The 17,967-nt window shown below is 37.0% G+C and overlaps 2 long non-coding RNA genes across 2 annotated transcripts in view, besides 1 other annotated feature; one reads left to right on the forward strand and one right to left on the reverse strand.

Moving 5' to 3' along the window:
* Window positions 1-17,967, reverse strand: part of LOC101928438 (uncharacterized) — a 234,104-nt gene that overhangs the window by 128,246 nt on the left and 87,891 nt on the right. The window contains exon 3 of the long non-coding RNA NR_109802.1: window positions 4,128-4,256. This is a non-coding gene — a long non-coding RNA (uncharacterized LOC101928438). The remainder of the gene's footprint in view (window positions 1-4,127; window positions 4,257-17,967) is intronic.
* The window catches only part of LOC124902234 (uncharacterized), an 85,285-nt gene that overhangs the window by 48,436 nt on the left and 18,882 nt on the right, over window positions 1-17,967 (forward strand). The gene's annotated exons all lie outside the window — the stretch shown is intronic.
* Window positions 8,958-9,027: an enhancer, noted in NCBI's record as "active region_28714". NCBI's record gives its function as "activates an Ori minimal core promoter by ATAC-STARR-seq in GM12878 lymphoblastoid cells {active_cell/tissue: GM12878}" and the evidence as "EXISTENCE:reporter gene assay evidence [ECO:0000049][PMID:35858748]".

A 17,967-nucleotide genomic window follows, 5' to 3' on the forward strand; every position in this document is an offset into this window, starting at 1 on the left:
AGATGTATTCTAGTTGGGAGGGGTGGTGTTCGGGGGCCTTTTTGTTTGGTTTTGGTTTTGTATAGGCCCTCTTCTTAATCTCCTCTGCCTCTGGCCTTGTTCATACCCCCATCAAATCTTACCTTGACTATTAAAAAGGTTTTGTTATGAGTCTCTTTGTCTTTAACCTTAACCACCTGCAATTCATGGCTTACATTTTCTAAAATGTAAATCTGACCACGTCACTTCCCAGCTCAAAACAATCAGATGTGTCACTATAGCTTACAAGATAAAACGGAAATGTCTCATCATGGTATACAAGTCCCTTAGATATATAAAGCCTTTTTAAAATTTCATGATAGTATTTTCATAATAGAGAAACACTGAAAACAACATAAATGCACAATGAAAACATGGTCAAGTAACTTGTGTTACATCAACTTGATGAGTGGACTCCCTTAAAATGTTAAAATATTAATTGTAAAAATAAATGTCAGTTTATTCATGTGGTATTTTATTATATTATGCAGTCATTTAAAATCAGGTTGAAAAATAGTTCACTAAAACCTTTAACTCCATTAGTATGACGGGCTAAGTGCCAAAATTGACCATCTCTGTCAAGATAAAAAACAACTAAAACTAAAATACTAAAACTGAAAGGTAAAAATGGTTATATATTTTAAATTAATGATATGGCAAGAATATAAAAGATACCGAAGCCAAACTTTAGAAAAGACACCACTGCAGCTGGCTGTCTCCATTAGAATACTTGCCAAATCAGCTCAATTTGAGTTTAAGTTTTCAAAATTTTCTGGGGATTGCCTCAATGTGAGAAATCAATGGGCAACTCCTCCCACAAAGTTGAAATCTCAAAGGGCTATGCCCCTGCAATAAGAATTAACCAGAAAGAAACTGACTCCACCTTCAAAGAACTGGTAGTGACAGCCAGCCTTTATGTGGGTTTATACCCACAATTTACATTACTTGATAAGTTTATGTTTGTTTTTGAGACAGAGTCCCACTCTGTAGCCCAGGCTGGAGTGCAGTGGCATGATCTCAGCTCACTGCAACCTCCACCTCCCAGGTTCTCCTGCTTCAGCCTCCCAAGTAGCTGGGACTACAGGAGTGTGCTACCATGCCCCGCTAATTTTTGTATATTTAGTAGAGACGGGGTTTCACTATGTTGGCCAGCCAGTTTCGAACTCCTGGCCTCAAGTGATCTGCCTGTCTCAGCCTCCTGAAGGGCTGGGATTACAGGCATGAGCCACCATGCCCGATGGACTCAGCAGTTGTTGTTGTTGTTTGTTTTTCAAGATGAAGTCTCACTCTGTCACCCAGGCTGGAGTGCAGTCGAACGATCTCAGCTCACCTGCAAACCTCTGCCTCCCGGGTTCAAGCGATTCTCCTGCCTCAGCCTCCCAAGCAGCTGGGATTACAGGCTTGTGCCACTGCACCTGGCTAATTTTTTGTATTTTTTAGTAGAGACGGGGTTTCACCATGTTGGCCAGGCTGGTCTTGAACCCCTGACCTCAGGTAATCCGCCCACCTCAGCCTCCCAAAGTGCTGGAATTACAGGCATGAGCCACTGTGCCTGGCCAACTCAGCAGATTTTTTTAAAGTTAAGAACCCAGAAATCAACCCACACATATATGGAAACTTGGTTTATGACACAGCTAGCATTGCAAATCAGTGGGGAAAGAATAAATATTTAACAAATGGTTCTTGGATAATTGGTTATCCTTATTGTTAGAGTTTGAATATTTGTCCCCTCCCAGACTCATGTTACAATTTAATTGCCATTGTAACAGTATTAAGAGATGGAACCTTTAAGAGGTGATTGGGCCATGAGTGCTCTGCCCTCATGAATGGATTAATGGCATTATTATGGGAGTGGGTTCCTTATAAAAGGGCAAGTTTGGCCCCCTTTTGCCTGTCTCTCTCTCTCTCTCTCTCTCTCTTTCGCCCTCACCCTCTCTTTGCCTTTTGACCATGGGATGACACAGCAGGAAAGTCTTTGCCAGATCTTTGACTTCCCATCCTCCAGAACTGTCAGCCAATAATTTTCTATTTATTATAAAATACCCAATCTGTGGTATTTTGTTACAGCAGTGCAAAATGAACTAATATACTTATTTAAAAGAAAAAAAAAACAGAGGCTAGGCATGGTGTCTCACGCCTATAATCCCAGCACTTTGGGAGGCTGAGGCAGGAGGATTCCTTGAGCCCAGGAGTTCGAGACCAACCTGGGCAACAGAGCAAGATCCCATCTCTCAAAAAAAAAGAAAAATTAGCTGGGCATGGTGCCACATGCCTATAGTCCCACACTTAGAAGGCTGAGGTGAGAGGATGGCTTCAGCCCGGGAGTTCAAGGCTGCAGTAAGCTATAGATCGTGACAGAATGAGACCCTGTCTTAAAAAAAGAGAGAGATACAGAAAGAAAATGTACTTTTACATCACACTGTACACAAAATCAATTCTATGTGGATTAAAAGCATAACTATGGAAGAGAGTACTATAACATTAAAGAAGACAGTGTAGAAGAACATCCTTAACACCTTGAGGAGAGAAATTTTTCTTTACAAGACTCAAAGGGCACAATTATTCAAAGAAAAGTTTGATAAATTTGACTGTATCAAAATTAAAATTATCTATTTACTATTAGGCACTATAAAGGTAGTGGAAAACAGAATGGGAGAAGATATTTGAACCCATGTAACTCAGAAAATTGATATCCAGAATATATTAAAAAAAACTCGTACAAACCAATAAGAAAAGAAAACCCAAGAGAACTATGAGCAAAAGATTTGAACAAGCACGCCATAGAAGAGACCCCATATGAAAAGATGTTCTGTCTCATTACTAGTTGGAAAAATTTATATTAAAACCAAATAAGAAAGATTCTCAAACTCACCAGATTAGCAAAAATTGTATCTGATAATATCAACTGAGCATTGGCAAGGATATGATGCAACCAGCATTCTTACACGTTGCTAGTAGAAGCATAATTTGGTACAACCATTTTGGAAAACAATTTGGCATTACCCATATATTTGAAGAGATACACACCAATGACCCGACAGAATTACTCATGCATTATAAAGAAACTCTTAGACATTTGTAATAGAAATTGTGTTATTAAAATATTCTTTACATTACCATTTACAGTAGGAAAAACTGGAATTTGCCCAAATGTTTATCATGGACAATAAGTTGTGGTGCATTCATATAATGAAATACTTGACAACAATGTAGATGAATACAATATAACACAATGACATAGAAAAAACATAGGGATTTAATACTGGGTGAAAAAACAAATTACAGATAAATGTGTTCACATTTTTTAGTCCATTTAAATATTGATTAAAATATCCACTAAACTGTATGCTCTTTAGGAATATAACCAAATATGGTAAAATTATAAAGAGAACTAAGATACAATAAACACAAGATTTAGGAGGGTGATCACATGGCCTCTGTAGGGGTAATGAAGAGGATGAGGTGGGAAATAAGAACACAGAGGCCTCCAAAGATAATAGCAATGTTCTTTATCTTAAATTGAATGATAGGCATATGGGTGTTAATTTATGATGATTTCGTATAACTTTTATAAATTTTTGTACATATATTCAACATTTAATACACAGTTTTTTAAAAAGAACATCTGCTGACACATAAAAATACATGATATTCTGTTAAAATGATCATTATAAATAATACACGGTAGTGGCATGGAAACATGCTTTTGATATATTATTTAAAAATTAGAAAAGAAAATTATGTATCAAAAAATATGATTACAACAACACAAAAATTATAGTTATAAATGGGCATGAAGCAAGGGAAAATAAAGACATGATTTTTAGTTTTTCTTCTTTATTTCTATCTCCATTAATGTGGTCATAATTCTGTGCCAATAATGAAATGATATATTTAAAACAGAAAATTGATGCTCTAAACAGGTCTCCCATTAAAGCTATTTAGACTATGGGCCAAATAATCAAGGTACCACCATTCACCTGGTGGCAATTTATCTCCACTGCAAAGTAGCCAAGGGAAAAAAATCAATGTCCTTATTGCTGCATTTGTGAGCCTTGCTTTATATAACAACCAAAACATGCCTCATCAGCCTCCCTCATCCATGTTACCTTCATCCTTGCAGCCATAGAAACACAGCACCTACAGCACCTAGACAGCTGAGAAAGGCCACAAAATCTTCTCGAAAGCCAACTCTGCAATCCAATGACCTCATTTTGTAAAAGGCATTGATAGTAGTTCTACAAAAGAGAAAAGTTATGATCAATTTATTCTTTGTTACTAATGGACAAAGAGAGAAAATATAACTTAAGGAAGCTGTATCAGGTTCTATTTGATTTGCAACCAAAACTGTTCTTACTATTCTGCATTTAAGTGTCATGGATAATTCAAAGTCATTAGAGACACATAATCTCAACCACATTAAGAAATAATCTAAATGTTTTTAAAAGTGATACAAAAAGTAGTGAGGAGTATTATTACTTCCAGTTGTACCTGCCCAAATATTTAAGTTTGCAAAAGAATAGAAAACGAAGTGCAAATTATTGATGGTGTTGAAATGACTTTAAATCACAACTGAAGTGTTCATACCATCAAACTTGGAAGGAAAAAAATCAATACTGCTATATTGAAGTTAAGAATAAATTAGAGGCATGTAAAAGTCTGGAATAACAATATGCTATAAAAATTACTGATATAAAAATATGCCATTTAACAAATTTGATACTACAGAGGCATAAAATTCTACATAGAGTCTGGAAGCAACCATGTGAACATAAGGAGGTAGCTGGGGTAGTGCCAACATGGTTAATTCAGAAAGAAACTCAAATTTATAACTGGTTAGGTTTAATTTCTGTTTTGAAGATAAATTACATGCCAGAAATCTATATGCTTCCATTTTTTCTACTGATATTTAAAGGTAAAAACTGGACAATATAAAAAATATATTTTCAGTAAATATTTTCCCTCTTTTCTCCCTCAAATCTCATGAATACCTCAGTTCACACACATATGCACACACACACACACACACAGACACACACACATTTAGATGCATACCTCCCAAGCTAGATTTTCAGTAATGAACAGGTTACCAACTATAATGTAATATATAGGTAGAAAATACAGTAATTGTTTAAAAACTACTTGCATAATTTCGGTGTTTAAAAGAATGTTCAAAGATTTTTAAAGAAATTTATTTATGAAAAGTTGGAAAAGAAGCCTAAGTTGATTGACAGTTTGGAGTTTGTGTTTCCACCATCTGATCATAGCCAAAATGCAAATGCGATTAAGTTCTGAAAGACAGGAATTGCAAAGTGTCTGCAGCTTATTAGAATCTTCCCTCTAGGTACCATTCAGCAAGGGCATCAATCAAAGGTGACCCCCCCGCTTATTGTGATAGGAGCCTCTTAGATTAAGGAAGGGGAAATATCTGGTTTATTGGTGGAATTATTATTGAAAGATCAGATTCTAAATTCATGCCTGGGATCAACAGGAAAAAGAACAGAGGTGGTTTATCTCACGGTATGGCATACAAGGAGAAAATGATGGCAGAGGTGCCATATCTTTGTCCTAAGCAAATTCTGCAATTACCTGCATCATTAGGAGATGAAACACACTCACACACATATACACATACATTTACAAGTACATTTCTTCATGTACATAAAAGTTACATAAATGCAAAACCCAATGTGTATAATCATTCAACAAAGATATTCAGCAGCTCATTTAGAAAATCAATTTTTATGCATCCATTTGACAAACTGAGTCATAATTATAAGTACCACACGTTGTTCTAGGCACCTAAAGATACAAAATAAGAAGAATTGGTCATGCTCCAATCTTATTCACAATCTAAACTAAAAGATATAAAAATCATCTAGTGGAGGAATGTACAAAGTATTATGAAGGCATAGAGAAAAAATAACTAACTCTTCCTAAAGGAACTCATAGAGCTTTCTCAGAAGAAGTGACATTTGCTTTTGGTCTTGAAAGACAGATAAGGATTTGTCAGGTGAGAAGATTGGTAAATACATTCCATTCATCAATTAATCAACAAACAGGGTCTTTTAGTTTTTCCAGGATCTGTGCATGTTACTTAGAATAGAAATACATGCCAAATTGCACATTCCAGGAGATGTAGTCTAGCAGTTTGGAGGCAGGTGAGTAAGATCCCATAAAGAAACAGATTGAAGGGAATGGTAATGGATATTGCGATTCAAAGGAATACTACAGGAAGTTATCTTACAAGATGAATAATATCTTTCTAAATCACTCTCTTGGGAGTTCTATTTCCACATGGGATGTAAAAAGCTAAAAATATATCTGTCCAACGTTCACAACAATAAAGCCGGATAGACTACAAATCAGAGCTTTTCTTGAACTATTAGAGAGTTGCAATCATAGGACAAGTAACCTGAATTCTAAGGAAAGATGGGCCCTCCAAGGAGAGCCAGGACATGACCTCTGGTTCACCTGAGCCAAAGCACCAGAGAAAGAGACACTGGGTGGAATATAAGTGGGTAAGAATTCAGCAAAAAAATTTAACTAATTGCAAAAGGTCAAATGTGACCTAGCTTTTACCTCTCTCAACTCATGGCAGCTACACTGCAACCATTTGAAATAATAGGTTTGTATAGAAAGGCAGCAGCTTATTTCAGTTCAGGAATAGCTGGGTTTTCCAACCCTGTCAGCCCCTGCATTTCTAGACTCTCTCTATTCCCTCTGTTTTTGCTCTCAAACCAGCTAATTCTTGCCTGATTTCAGCTTATTCTTGGAAGATGTTGCTTAAAACAGAAAGTAAAAGCCAAAACACGCTAGCACTCTGGCTCCTTGTAACCACTTCCCCTCAAGTACTCACATAAGGATCAAATAAGTGATCTTGTGTTCATTGAACACAAGAAAAAGTCTTCAAGTGGTTAAAAAAAAATGCTTATTGTGAGACTATACTAATTCATTAACTTCTATATATCTAAGAATCCCAATCTATTCCTATTTCAAAATCATTACTAACAGAAAACAAAACAGGACTAGAAACAAAATAGAGTACAGAAATACAACCATATATAAAGCAATTCAATGACAAAAGAAAAATCTCTTCAACGACTGGGTTGGAATAACTGGATATCCAAAACAAAAAGGGAGAGAGAAAGAACCTTGACCCCTACCTCACACCACATCCAAAAAAACCCATATGAGAAGGGTTATAGAGTTAAATGTAAATATAAAATAATACAGTTACAAAGGAAAAAAAAGTGGAAGAAAATGTTTGCAACCTTGCAATGGGCAAACATTTTTCAAGAACATACAAAGCATAAACCATAAAATAAAAACACTAATAGACTGTACTACCTAAAACTGTAAAACATTTGCTCATCAAGACACCGTCAAGAAAATAAATCACAAGCCACGCACTGAGAAAAAAAATTCAGTAGATAGATAGATATGTAGATAGAGCTATATATAGTGAATATTTTAGATATAAAAATATAAAATATATATACATTATATATTTTTATAATTTATACTTTATATATAAATTATATATATTATATATTTATACTTTATATATAAATTATATATATTATATATTTATAATTTATACTTTATATATAAATTATATATAATATACTTATATATTTTATATATTATAGATAATATATTTATGTATTATATAAATATAAAATTTATATATAAAATATAAAATATATCTATATATAGTGAATATTATGTATATATATAATATATATCTCTCTGACAAATACATTGCATATAGAACATACAAAGAAATTCTATAAATCAATAATAAAAAGACAAATCATTTTTTAAAGAAGACTTGGACAGCCACAAAAGAAGATATACAAATGGCCAACAAGCACATATAAAGATACTCAACTTTATTATTTATAAGTTTCATGCAAAGTAAAACACACACATATACACACATACACACATACATGACTGAAATTTTTTAAGAAAAGATTAACAACATCAAATGTTGGAAAGAATGTGGAGCAATCCAAATTTTCATATATTGCTGCTGGGAGTATAAAATGATGCAATAACTTTGGAAAACTGTTTAGTAGTTTCTTAAAGAGTTAAACATATGTCTACCCTGTGGCCGGGCAATTCTACTCCTAGATATTTTCCCAAGAGAAACGAAAACCTATGCTTACATAAAGCCCTATATAAAAATGTTCATAGCAGCTTTATTCATAATAGCCAAAAACTAGAAAAAACCCAGATGTACGTCAACAGGCAAAAGTGTTTTTTTAAAACTGTGGCATATTCAAAGAATAGAATATTACTCAGCGATAGAAAGAAATGATCTACTGATATACACAACATGAATGAATCTCAAAAGTATGTCCGGTGAAAGAAACAAAACACATAAGAACATATACTGTATGATTGCAGTCATAAGAAATTCTAGAATAAACTAAACTAACCTATGTGATAGAAAGCAGATCAGCAGTTGATTGGGGGGTGAATTTGGAAATTGAGTGGGAAGAAGCATGAGGGAACATCATTCTGGGCTGATAAAAATATTTTGTGTCTTAATATGCAGTTATCAAAAGTGATTGAGCTTGAAGATTTGAGCATTTCACTGTATATAAATTATACTTCAATTTTTTAAAAGGTTAATAAATGTTGTTGCTAAAGGATTAGACTTCAGTTAGTACTTCCCTAGATATAATTTCTAAAAATGTAAATTTTTCCTAAAGTCCTGGATCTGCACTGACTTTTCACATACATGAAGCTTAATTCTCCTTTTATTTCAACGAACTTTCTACGCTTAGGTTGGAGGAGTGGTCATCCTACCCATCTGAAACGTTCACCTCAAATCCTTGAGGCAGGGGGAAGTAGCATGTCAGAAGAAACTGTGAAAACAGTGGGATAAATCGGGAATATTACAAAAAGAATAGACCCACCCTACTATGGGACTGTGGTTCAGAGCTAGCTCTCCAAGTGTGAAACCACAAAAGGCAGCTATCAGAGAGTGATTCTTCACATGCACCCCCTCTGTGCACAGATGTGGAGGGGCAGTGAAAAAGTCTTGCCTTATGTTTTCAACTAACCATAAACTGAACAAGTTACCCAATTCATTGGCTTGAACTTTTTTGTTTTGTCTTTACAGCAGTCAACTTTGAATTTAATCTTGGCTGGATGAAGCCACCTGAGTTTTGCTTTTACAAAAGACTTTGCAAAGAGAGGAACACAAAGACTTTCACTTAAATGCCTTGTTTTGCAAGTGCATTAAGTCATTGGTGCCCACCTCAAGTTGGTTTTACATCCAAAAAGAACCAATTTGGCTCATAATCCCTGACAGCAGCTGGCACAAACTGAGCATACCACTACCATCTTAGAACTGAAGTCTTTGGGCATACCTGCAAAGGGAAGAAAAAGTTCCAGCCAAGGAAGTCAATAACTTCCTTTTTAATGTGCTTATTCAATGCTGAGACAAGTATTACTGGATTTTAGAGACATTTGGAATAAGAATGGAAGTTTGGTGCACTTGGTCACAGGAACACACTGTGACTTCTCAGACCTAGAAACAAATTACTTATTAATTTTTTAGGAAAAAAAAGCATCTTGATGATGCACTAGGTCCTTGTTATTTACAAATGGATTAGTCTTACAGAATCTGATTCTAGACCACGATGCTCACTAGTAAAAGCTACAAGCTAAGTATAATTTCTCCAGTTGTGACTAGTGTATGCAGAGATAAGAAGCCTCTAGCCTTCTGGCTAGTACTGGCCATTAGCTTAATTTGTATTCATCCTTAAACAAATATTATATTCTTAGAGCAACCATGATATGATGACTTTGGTACACTTATGGTACACTGCAGTCCACATAGTAATCTCCTTTCTGGTAGTATATAACCTGATAGATATACTGTTATTTAATTAAGGGAAGTATATATGAAGTTTTAATTTTTTAAACTATGTTTAGTGGCTAATTTTCTGATTTTTCTTGGTGGACTAATACCCTTTTTCTTCTGTGGCAACTTCTTGGCAAGTTCATCTACTACATCAGTTGTTCTACCCAGTTGTACTACCTAGTTGTTCTACACGATTCAGCTCTGAGTCCACTATTATGTTTCCTCACTATCCCCTCTATTTACAGATTCCTCCCGTCACATTATTTTAACCACCAACAACTTTATTGAAGTTCTCAATTTTACAACTTCAATCCTTTTGTTGTTTTTATAAATCCCAATCCAAATGCTTACTAGATGCATTTTCACTTGGATAACTCAACATGCCCCCAACCCTGCATATCAAACCAGCACCACCTCCCATTTTCCATAATATCTGTTAATAGTAACACTGGGTAGGAAGACTCCCAAATCCATAACTTTACTTGCTGATTCACTTTTCTCTTTTCTTTATCTGCATCCCATCAGTATCAAGTCCTGGTAAGTCTTCTTTCGTAATGTTCTCTCCTCACCACCATCTCTGTTGTCCAATCTGACAAGATCTCTCTCGGACTACTGTAACAAGCTTGTACTAGCTTTCCTGAGTGTCAACTCCCCTCTATTCTCCAAATAGCATCAAGAATATCCATTTCAAAATGCAAAATTGAACATGTTAGCTCCTGATTTAAATGTCCAATACCTGCTTGTTGCTTCTGAAATGAAAACAAAGAACCCAGTATTATCTGGCTCCTGCCTTTCTTTCCAGCCTCATGTCAGCCACTCTCTACCTTTCTTGCTGTATGCTAAATCTCCTGGTCATCTTTCACATTTTAAATCCATGCTCCCTGCCACAGGTCCTTTGCACACACTGCTTCCACTGTCTGGAATGCTGTTGTCCCTTTCCTTACCTCCCTTTGCATAGTTTACTCCTATTCACCCTCCCATTCTCAATTCAAACATCTGTTGTTGTTTTTTTTCCCCAAAGAAGCCATCCCTGATCTCTATCTGCACAAACTAGATCAAATTCAATTCTGTTATACATTCTTATATCTTCTTGTACTTTTCCTTCACAGCATCATCATATGTATTTGTCTGATGAATGTCTGACTCCCTTACTGGTCTAAGAACTCTAAAATGGCAAGAATCATGCCTATTTGGCTCACTATTAAATCATCAGTATATAGCACAATGCCTTGCACTTACTAAACATTTGAATTAATGAAAGAAGATTTTTATATTTGTCTCTTTTTTTGTCTTCTCATTGTCACCACCATTGCTCTGACCCTTTCTAAGCTCATGCTTTGGAGACCAAAGTACTATCTGGTCTTCTGTTCCCAACCCCTCCCCTTTCTAATTTAATTTGCACATCTCTAGATCAATCATCTCAAAACATTGTTTTTATTGTGACCCTTTTCTGATTAAGAATCATTCATTGCCTACAGACTGAAGTTGAAAATCTTTACCCTAACCTTCCTATCTTTCCTTGATCAGTTCCTAGCCCATCTTTCCAGGTTTCTATATCTCTTCTCTACAAAACTCTCCAACTCAGTTTCATTGATGTACACATTCAGGGCTTTCCCCAGACCACTGTACAGGCTGTTCACTAAATGATGCCATGCCGTGAACGGCCCCTGGGATGCCATTTGTATCAGTGCTTATGTGAGTTACACCCCTGGAGTTATGCAAGGCACAAATGATGCAGCCAAACGTAGCAGCCCTGTAAACATCTTAAATTTGTTCTTTCTCGTTTCCCATGTTTGATAAAACTTTTGCTTTTTCTGGAATGCCTTCCTTTGGTCTCAATCCATCAAACTTTAACCTGTCTCCATAGTCCTTCCTTCTGTTCCTAGCAACAGTGATCTGCATTACTGAATTCCTATAACACATCAAACCTGTGCCATTCTCTTTATATATACTATAGTCTTTATATACTGGTTTTTAACTTTCCTTGTGCATTTTAGTGTAGAGTAGTAGAAAGAGCTCTGGAATTGGAGTCAGAAGTCATGCCTAGGTCTACTTCAGTGGCAGCAAGGGCACTTCAGACAGCACAAATGGTTGATCTCCAGTAAGTTGCTTAGCTTGTCAGAACCATCATTTCCTGTCTGAAAAGTGTGAGTAACAGTACCTCACAGGTTGTTGTGAGGATACTCCAAGGGTTTAATCCACAGCCTATTGAGAGAAGAATAATTTGCTTGCAGGCATTTTGCAAATAATGAAGCACTGTGATGGCTAATCTTATGTGTCAACTTGACTGGGCCATGGAATGCCCAGATACCTGGTTAAACTTTATTTTGGGGTGTGTCTGTGAGGTTGTTTCCAGAAGATATTAGCATTTTAATTGGTGAACTGAGTAAAGCAGATGGCCTCCCCAATGCGAGTGGGCAACATCCAATCCATTAACGGCCTGAATAGAATTAAAAAGCTGGGGAAAGTTCAATTTGCTCTCTCCCTGACTGCTGGAGCTGGACCATGTATCTTCTCCTGCCCTTGCATTCCTGGATCTCAGACCTTCAGGTTTAGACTGGGAGCCACACCAACAACTCTTTAGCTCTCTCGCTGTAAGGCCTTTGAACTATACCACTGGTTTACCTGGGTCTCCAGTTTGCACACAACAGACTGTGGGATGTCTTGGCCTCCGTAATTGCATAGACAAATTCCTTATAATAAACCTCATATGTGTATGATATATGTAACATAACCAATTATGACCTATTGGTTCTGTTTCTTCAGAGAACCCTGACTAATACCAGAACTATATAAAGTGTTTGCTGCTAGTTCGTAATTGTCTTGCAATCAGACTAGAAGCTCCTTGCCTGAAAGGGGTGGTGTGTCACACCCCTAGGTGTCTCTCAGAGTGCCTAGCACAGTGTCCTACACATGATAAGTGGTCAGTAAATATTTTCTGTGTAAAGAATGACATCCTGGCAGCTGCAGACAACAGATGACCACAGCTCTGCTGCTCATGGCTGCCATCCAGTCTGCAGTTGCTGTATTTAATGCCTCTCTTTCCTGCTGCACCCATCCCCCAGTCTGCAGATTCCAGGCCTGCATAGGCACCACATACTCAATTTGCAGCCATGAGCCTAGGAGCTATATAATATGGAGTCAGTAGCTTCTGGGTACTTTTCACTTTTTCCACTTGAAGTACAGAATAGGAGCAATGATAACATGCTAGAACTAGAGTTTCTTGTGCCACGTTAGGCACCATGGGAATTAGTACCATGAGTTCTCTCAGGAGGTCATCCAATTCTCTGTGAGTTGTATGCCCCACAGAAGGTGAATAGGGTGGAAATCACACCTTAGTCTAATCAATGGGGAATGTCAGGAGTTCTTACGTAATCATTTGAGAATGTATATCATCATCAACAGAGCAGGGCTGGGGGTAAGGATGGGGGATGGAAAAAGCATCGAAAATATACAAAAAAATTCCCTAAAATCTTAGAATTAAAAAAGATTTTTGGTGTCATTTAGGCCAAATTCAATACAATCAAATTCAATTTCTACTCTTAATATGTCTTGGGCCCTTTACTTACGTTTTAGTATGTCTTAATATGTCTTGTGCCCTTTACCTAGACATATCCAATGACAGAAAACTCACTGTCTATGAAGACAGTCCATTGATAGACCAACTGTAATTTTCATTTTAGAGTGCATCTAATCCAAACCCTGATTTCAGATTATGAAACTGAGGCCTGAAGAGTTAAGAGACTTGAATCATACAGTAACATAGAGGCAGAGCTAGAACAGGCTTCTGTCACCTTCTGCCCATAACAGAAAGCTACAACACTTTCACAACCCCATTCCATCTTTTACTCCTTCCCTTTGCTCCTGGATCTGTCTCCAGAGCAACAGGAACTTTGTCTAATTCCTCTTCCACGTGACAGCTTTCAGATTTTTCAAGAAAGCTTTATTTCAGCTTCTGAATCTGTCTCCAAGAGAAGTCATATTCTCCATCCCAGTCCTTTGAATTTTCTTCACTTGGCATGAGTCTATACCCTTTACCACTTTCAGCACTCAATCTCCCACAAGGTATAGACACTTTTTAAATTAGAGACACCCAGAATTGAACACAAAATCTTGGCGATGAAAAATACAGTGAGCCATGAGCTTCCCTTGATCCTGACCCCTCACTTCTACCATTATTCCCAAAGATTGCTTTACCTTTTTAGCAACCACATCATACTGCTAAACCTGCTATAATAATGACCTACCTAACACTTACTATGTGCCAGGCATTGCTCTAAGTACTTCACATGTCTTAACTCATTTAATTCTTACAATTCCAACAATATCAGTTGGAACTAATATTATCATCTTCATTTTCCAGGTAAGAAAAGTGAAACAGATTTTAAGAAACATACCCAAGATCATACAACTTGTAAATGGCAGAGCCAGGGTTCCGACCCAGGCAGATGGTCCCAAAGTCCACAATCTGAATTTAATGCTACAGCTGACTTAATGAAAAATAAACTTCTTTTTTTTAAAAAAAAAAAAATATATTGACTCTGTTCCTGGCTGAAGGGAGATCTTTCACAGTCTGTAAATGGAGGTGTTTTGCTTTCTTTTGCATGCATCCCTATTAAATTTCAGATTTGGTTTGGGTTTCTCCTCCTTCTCCTTTTAAACTTCTATACTTCAATATATTGGCTATTTTTCTCCAGGTTGCATCATCTTCCAAGGTAATAATATGCTTTCTAGCTGTTCCTCTTTAAGCTGTCAACAACAACAACAACAACAACAAAATATATATATATACACACACACATATATATATATGACTAACAAAGGGCCTGGTGACATAACTTGATTGGTAGCAAAAAATAGTGTAAAGGTTGACCCCTTTTCGCTCTTCTTGTTTGGCCAACTAAAAAGCTATGTAACTGTTTTGTTTGGCCCTTAACTCTTCATTTTATCAGAAGGATATGACAAAGAAACTTAACAAACACTGCGTGAAAATCAGGACATACTAAGGATGCAGGATTTACCCAACCTATGTGCCTAGAATACCTTTCAAAAATGGAAATAAGTTTAGTATGGTCTGATTTGTTCTTTGGAAATCTATGTTACCTCCAAATTATTACAACTTGTAGTAAATTACCCAAATGGTGCCTGAAGTTGCCATCAAGCTTACTGACCTTTAGTGTCCAATATTCACTTTTTGTCCTTTTTTAAGTTTATTGGAACTAATAGGTCTTTCTTACTCAAACCCATATGCACATTCTTTTAGTACCATAGGTGGTTGGTCATCTGAACCTAGGAACTAAAACATATTTTCATAACTTCAGACACTTAAATTCAATTGTCTGCTTGATATCTTCATTTAGATATCTATGAGGCATTTTCAATTTAAAATGTCTTAACCAGAGCTTCTAATTTTACCCCATTCCAAAACCTGCTCCTCCCACAGTCTTCCTAATCTCAATAGACAACTAAGCCAATGGAGTTGTTCTTGATTCTTCTTCTCTTACATTCTGTAGGCAATCCACTAGCAAAATCCTGTGGGCTCTGCCTTCAAAATATATCCAGAATCCAACCACTTCTCAACACCTCCACTGCTACATTCTGGTCCAAGCCAACTTCATCTCTCTTGAGGACTATTACAGTAGCCTCCTAATTGGTATCTCTACTTCCACTCTTATTCTGTGTAGAGATGCTATTGGCACCCTCAGGTTTCCTGGACTCCCTTTTATTAATTTGGTTGATGAGCCCCTTTCCCAGCTGCTGTGAATACCTCAAAGAGAATTGCCCTTGGGCAATGGAAGCCACCCCACCCCCCCCCACCCCCACCCAACCTGCAGGTGCTTGGGATTTACATTGTCTATCTGCTTCCCCAGAGTATTTACCCAATAAGCAGGATAAGGGTAAAAAGCCCCTCTTGCTTGTCTCAATGTGGGAAAAACTCTACAGAGTAACTTATGTTCCAGAACAAATCAGGCTGAAGCTACTCATTACCTGAAATCACATTATTGCCCATCCTCTACCCTGTTCCCTCCAGAAATCATGCACATCCCCATCAGGTTCGACCTCTAAGGAATTCAGCCTAACACATTTTCCTTACAGCACCCAGAGTGATCCTGTCAAAATGTTCACATCATTCCTTTGTTCCAAATTCCCCATTGGCTTCTGTCTCACTAAGGAAAAAAAATCCAAAGTCTTTGCCATGGCCTAAAAGAACCTACAATTTCTTCCCCAGCTAACTTTTTAACTTCATCTCCTTTCACTCTCCCCTTCCTCTGTGCCACTCCACTCTAATTGGTCTCCTTGACATTCCTCAAAATGCTATGCAAACTCCTGCCTCAAAGCCTTTGTACCCAAGTGTTCTCCACCAAGAAACTCTTCCCCCAGAGAACCACTAGGCTTCCTCACTTCTTTCAAGTCTCTGTTCAAATGTCACTTATTACAGAGGCCTTCTCTAACCACTCCAGCAAAAAGCAGCACACACGTCTCACATCCTATCACTCCCTCTTCATGATCTGTCTCTCTGTTCACGACCCTGTTCCTTCCATCCTCATGATCCTACTATGAGAATATACGTTCCCTAAAAACAGGAGCACTGCCTTGTACACTCTTGTTTTCCCAGAACCTAGAACAGTGTCTGGCATATATTAGGCACTAAATATATTTGTTGAATTATTTAAGTAGACTTTCTTTTGACTTCCCACACACAAACCCCAAAAACACACACACCTAAAAACTATCTTTGATTTCAAAGTCCTGTTAACAATATTCATTCTATTTTTTTATAGCTTGGGAACAATTACCTGTGACAGAGACAACAGAAGCAAAACAGAAGTTGAGTTGTTAACAACGTTTTGCTGTAATCTATTAATGAAAACCTTTAAAAAAGAAAGAAAGAGAAACATGGATAATATGTGGAAGTCGAGAAACAATAGAGCGTTGCAATCCAGAAAGCTTGAGAATTGCACTGTTAGCTCAAATGGCTCATAGTCAAGTTGCCAGGCAGATAACTCCAAAATACAAAGCACAGTTGCTACCATTAGGGAAAATGAAAGAAATTAAATTTAAAGTTAAGAAAAACTTGTGTAACAAAGATCATCAATATTTAAAATCAAAGCAAGCCCAATACTTATTTAATTAGATAAAAAGTCCTTTTTACTCACAGGAAGGGTTTTGTGGTAGGTTCTTGAAATGGACAAAAAGTAACAGAAGAATTTTGGATTTGTGGCACTATGAGTTATAAGTGGACCACGGAAATGAAACTAATGTCCACCCTATAATTTTTTAATGTACAAAATTGAGCCTTGTGACAGAAGTACTGATGGTCTGCGAGGCAGGGGTTGATCCAGGAAGGAATGTCACACTTCACTCAGCTCAAATCACAACTCAAAAATCTAGTAAAACACTCCTTACCCCACAGCTTAGGACATCACCTGAGCCTATCCCAAATACTCTTAATAATCCCTTATTTTTTACCAAAAAAAAAAAATAATTAATGCAAAGCATCATCAAAAGTCAGTCTGCACTGTGCATCTGTTAGCAAACAGGCCTGCAGGCAGTATTCATTCTAGTGCGTGTGCAGTGACTGGGGGGAGAGGTTTGTGTCAGGCTCCATACCCCAGGCCCCATAAATATGTATACCTACTGTGTACACACAAAATTAAAATTTAAAAAAATTTTTAAGTCACATATGAACATCTTTTCTTTTCAGAGCAGGGTATGTCTGTGGCTACATGTTTAGCCTCACTCAGAAATAACATCAAATGTCTAAACTTGAGGCCGTTCTCAAATGTGAGACCTTGCCAGTGCCACTGTTCTGATGACCATTGTGACTGGCCCTATCTTCCATCACTTTGAAAGTAACAAGAATAACTTCCCCGAACGTATTATTAGACTTGCGTAGTGAAGGGGGAATGCACCCAACATGCAAATGGAATAACTGGTGGGGGGCGTGGGGAGGGCAATTCAAAAGGCCAGTACTCTTTAATCATACTCTTTTCTTCAAGGCAAAGCCTGCAGATGAGGCTGACCCAGACTAGGGAGAGAAAACTGTACCTACCAAGCCAGACTAG

Source organism: Homo sapiens, chromosome 9 (genome assembly GCF_000001405.40).
Source record: "Homo sapiens chromosome 9, GRCh38.p14 Primary Assembly".
Lineage (NCBI taxonomy): Eukaryota > Metazoa > Chordata > Mammalia > Primates > Hominidae > Homo > Homo sapiens.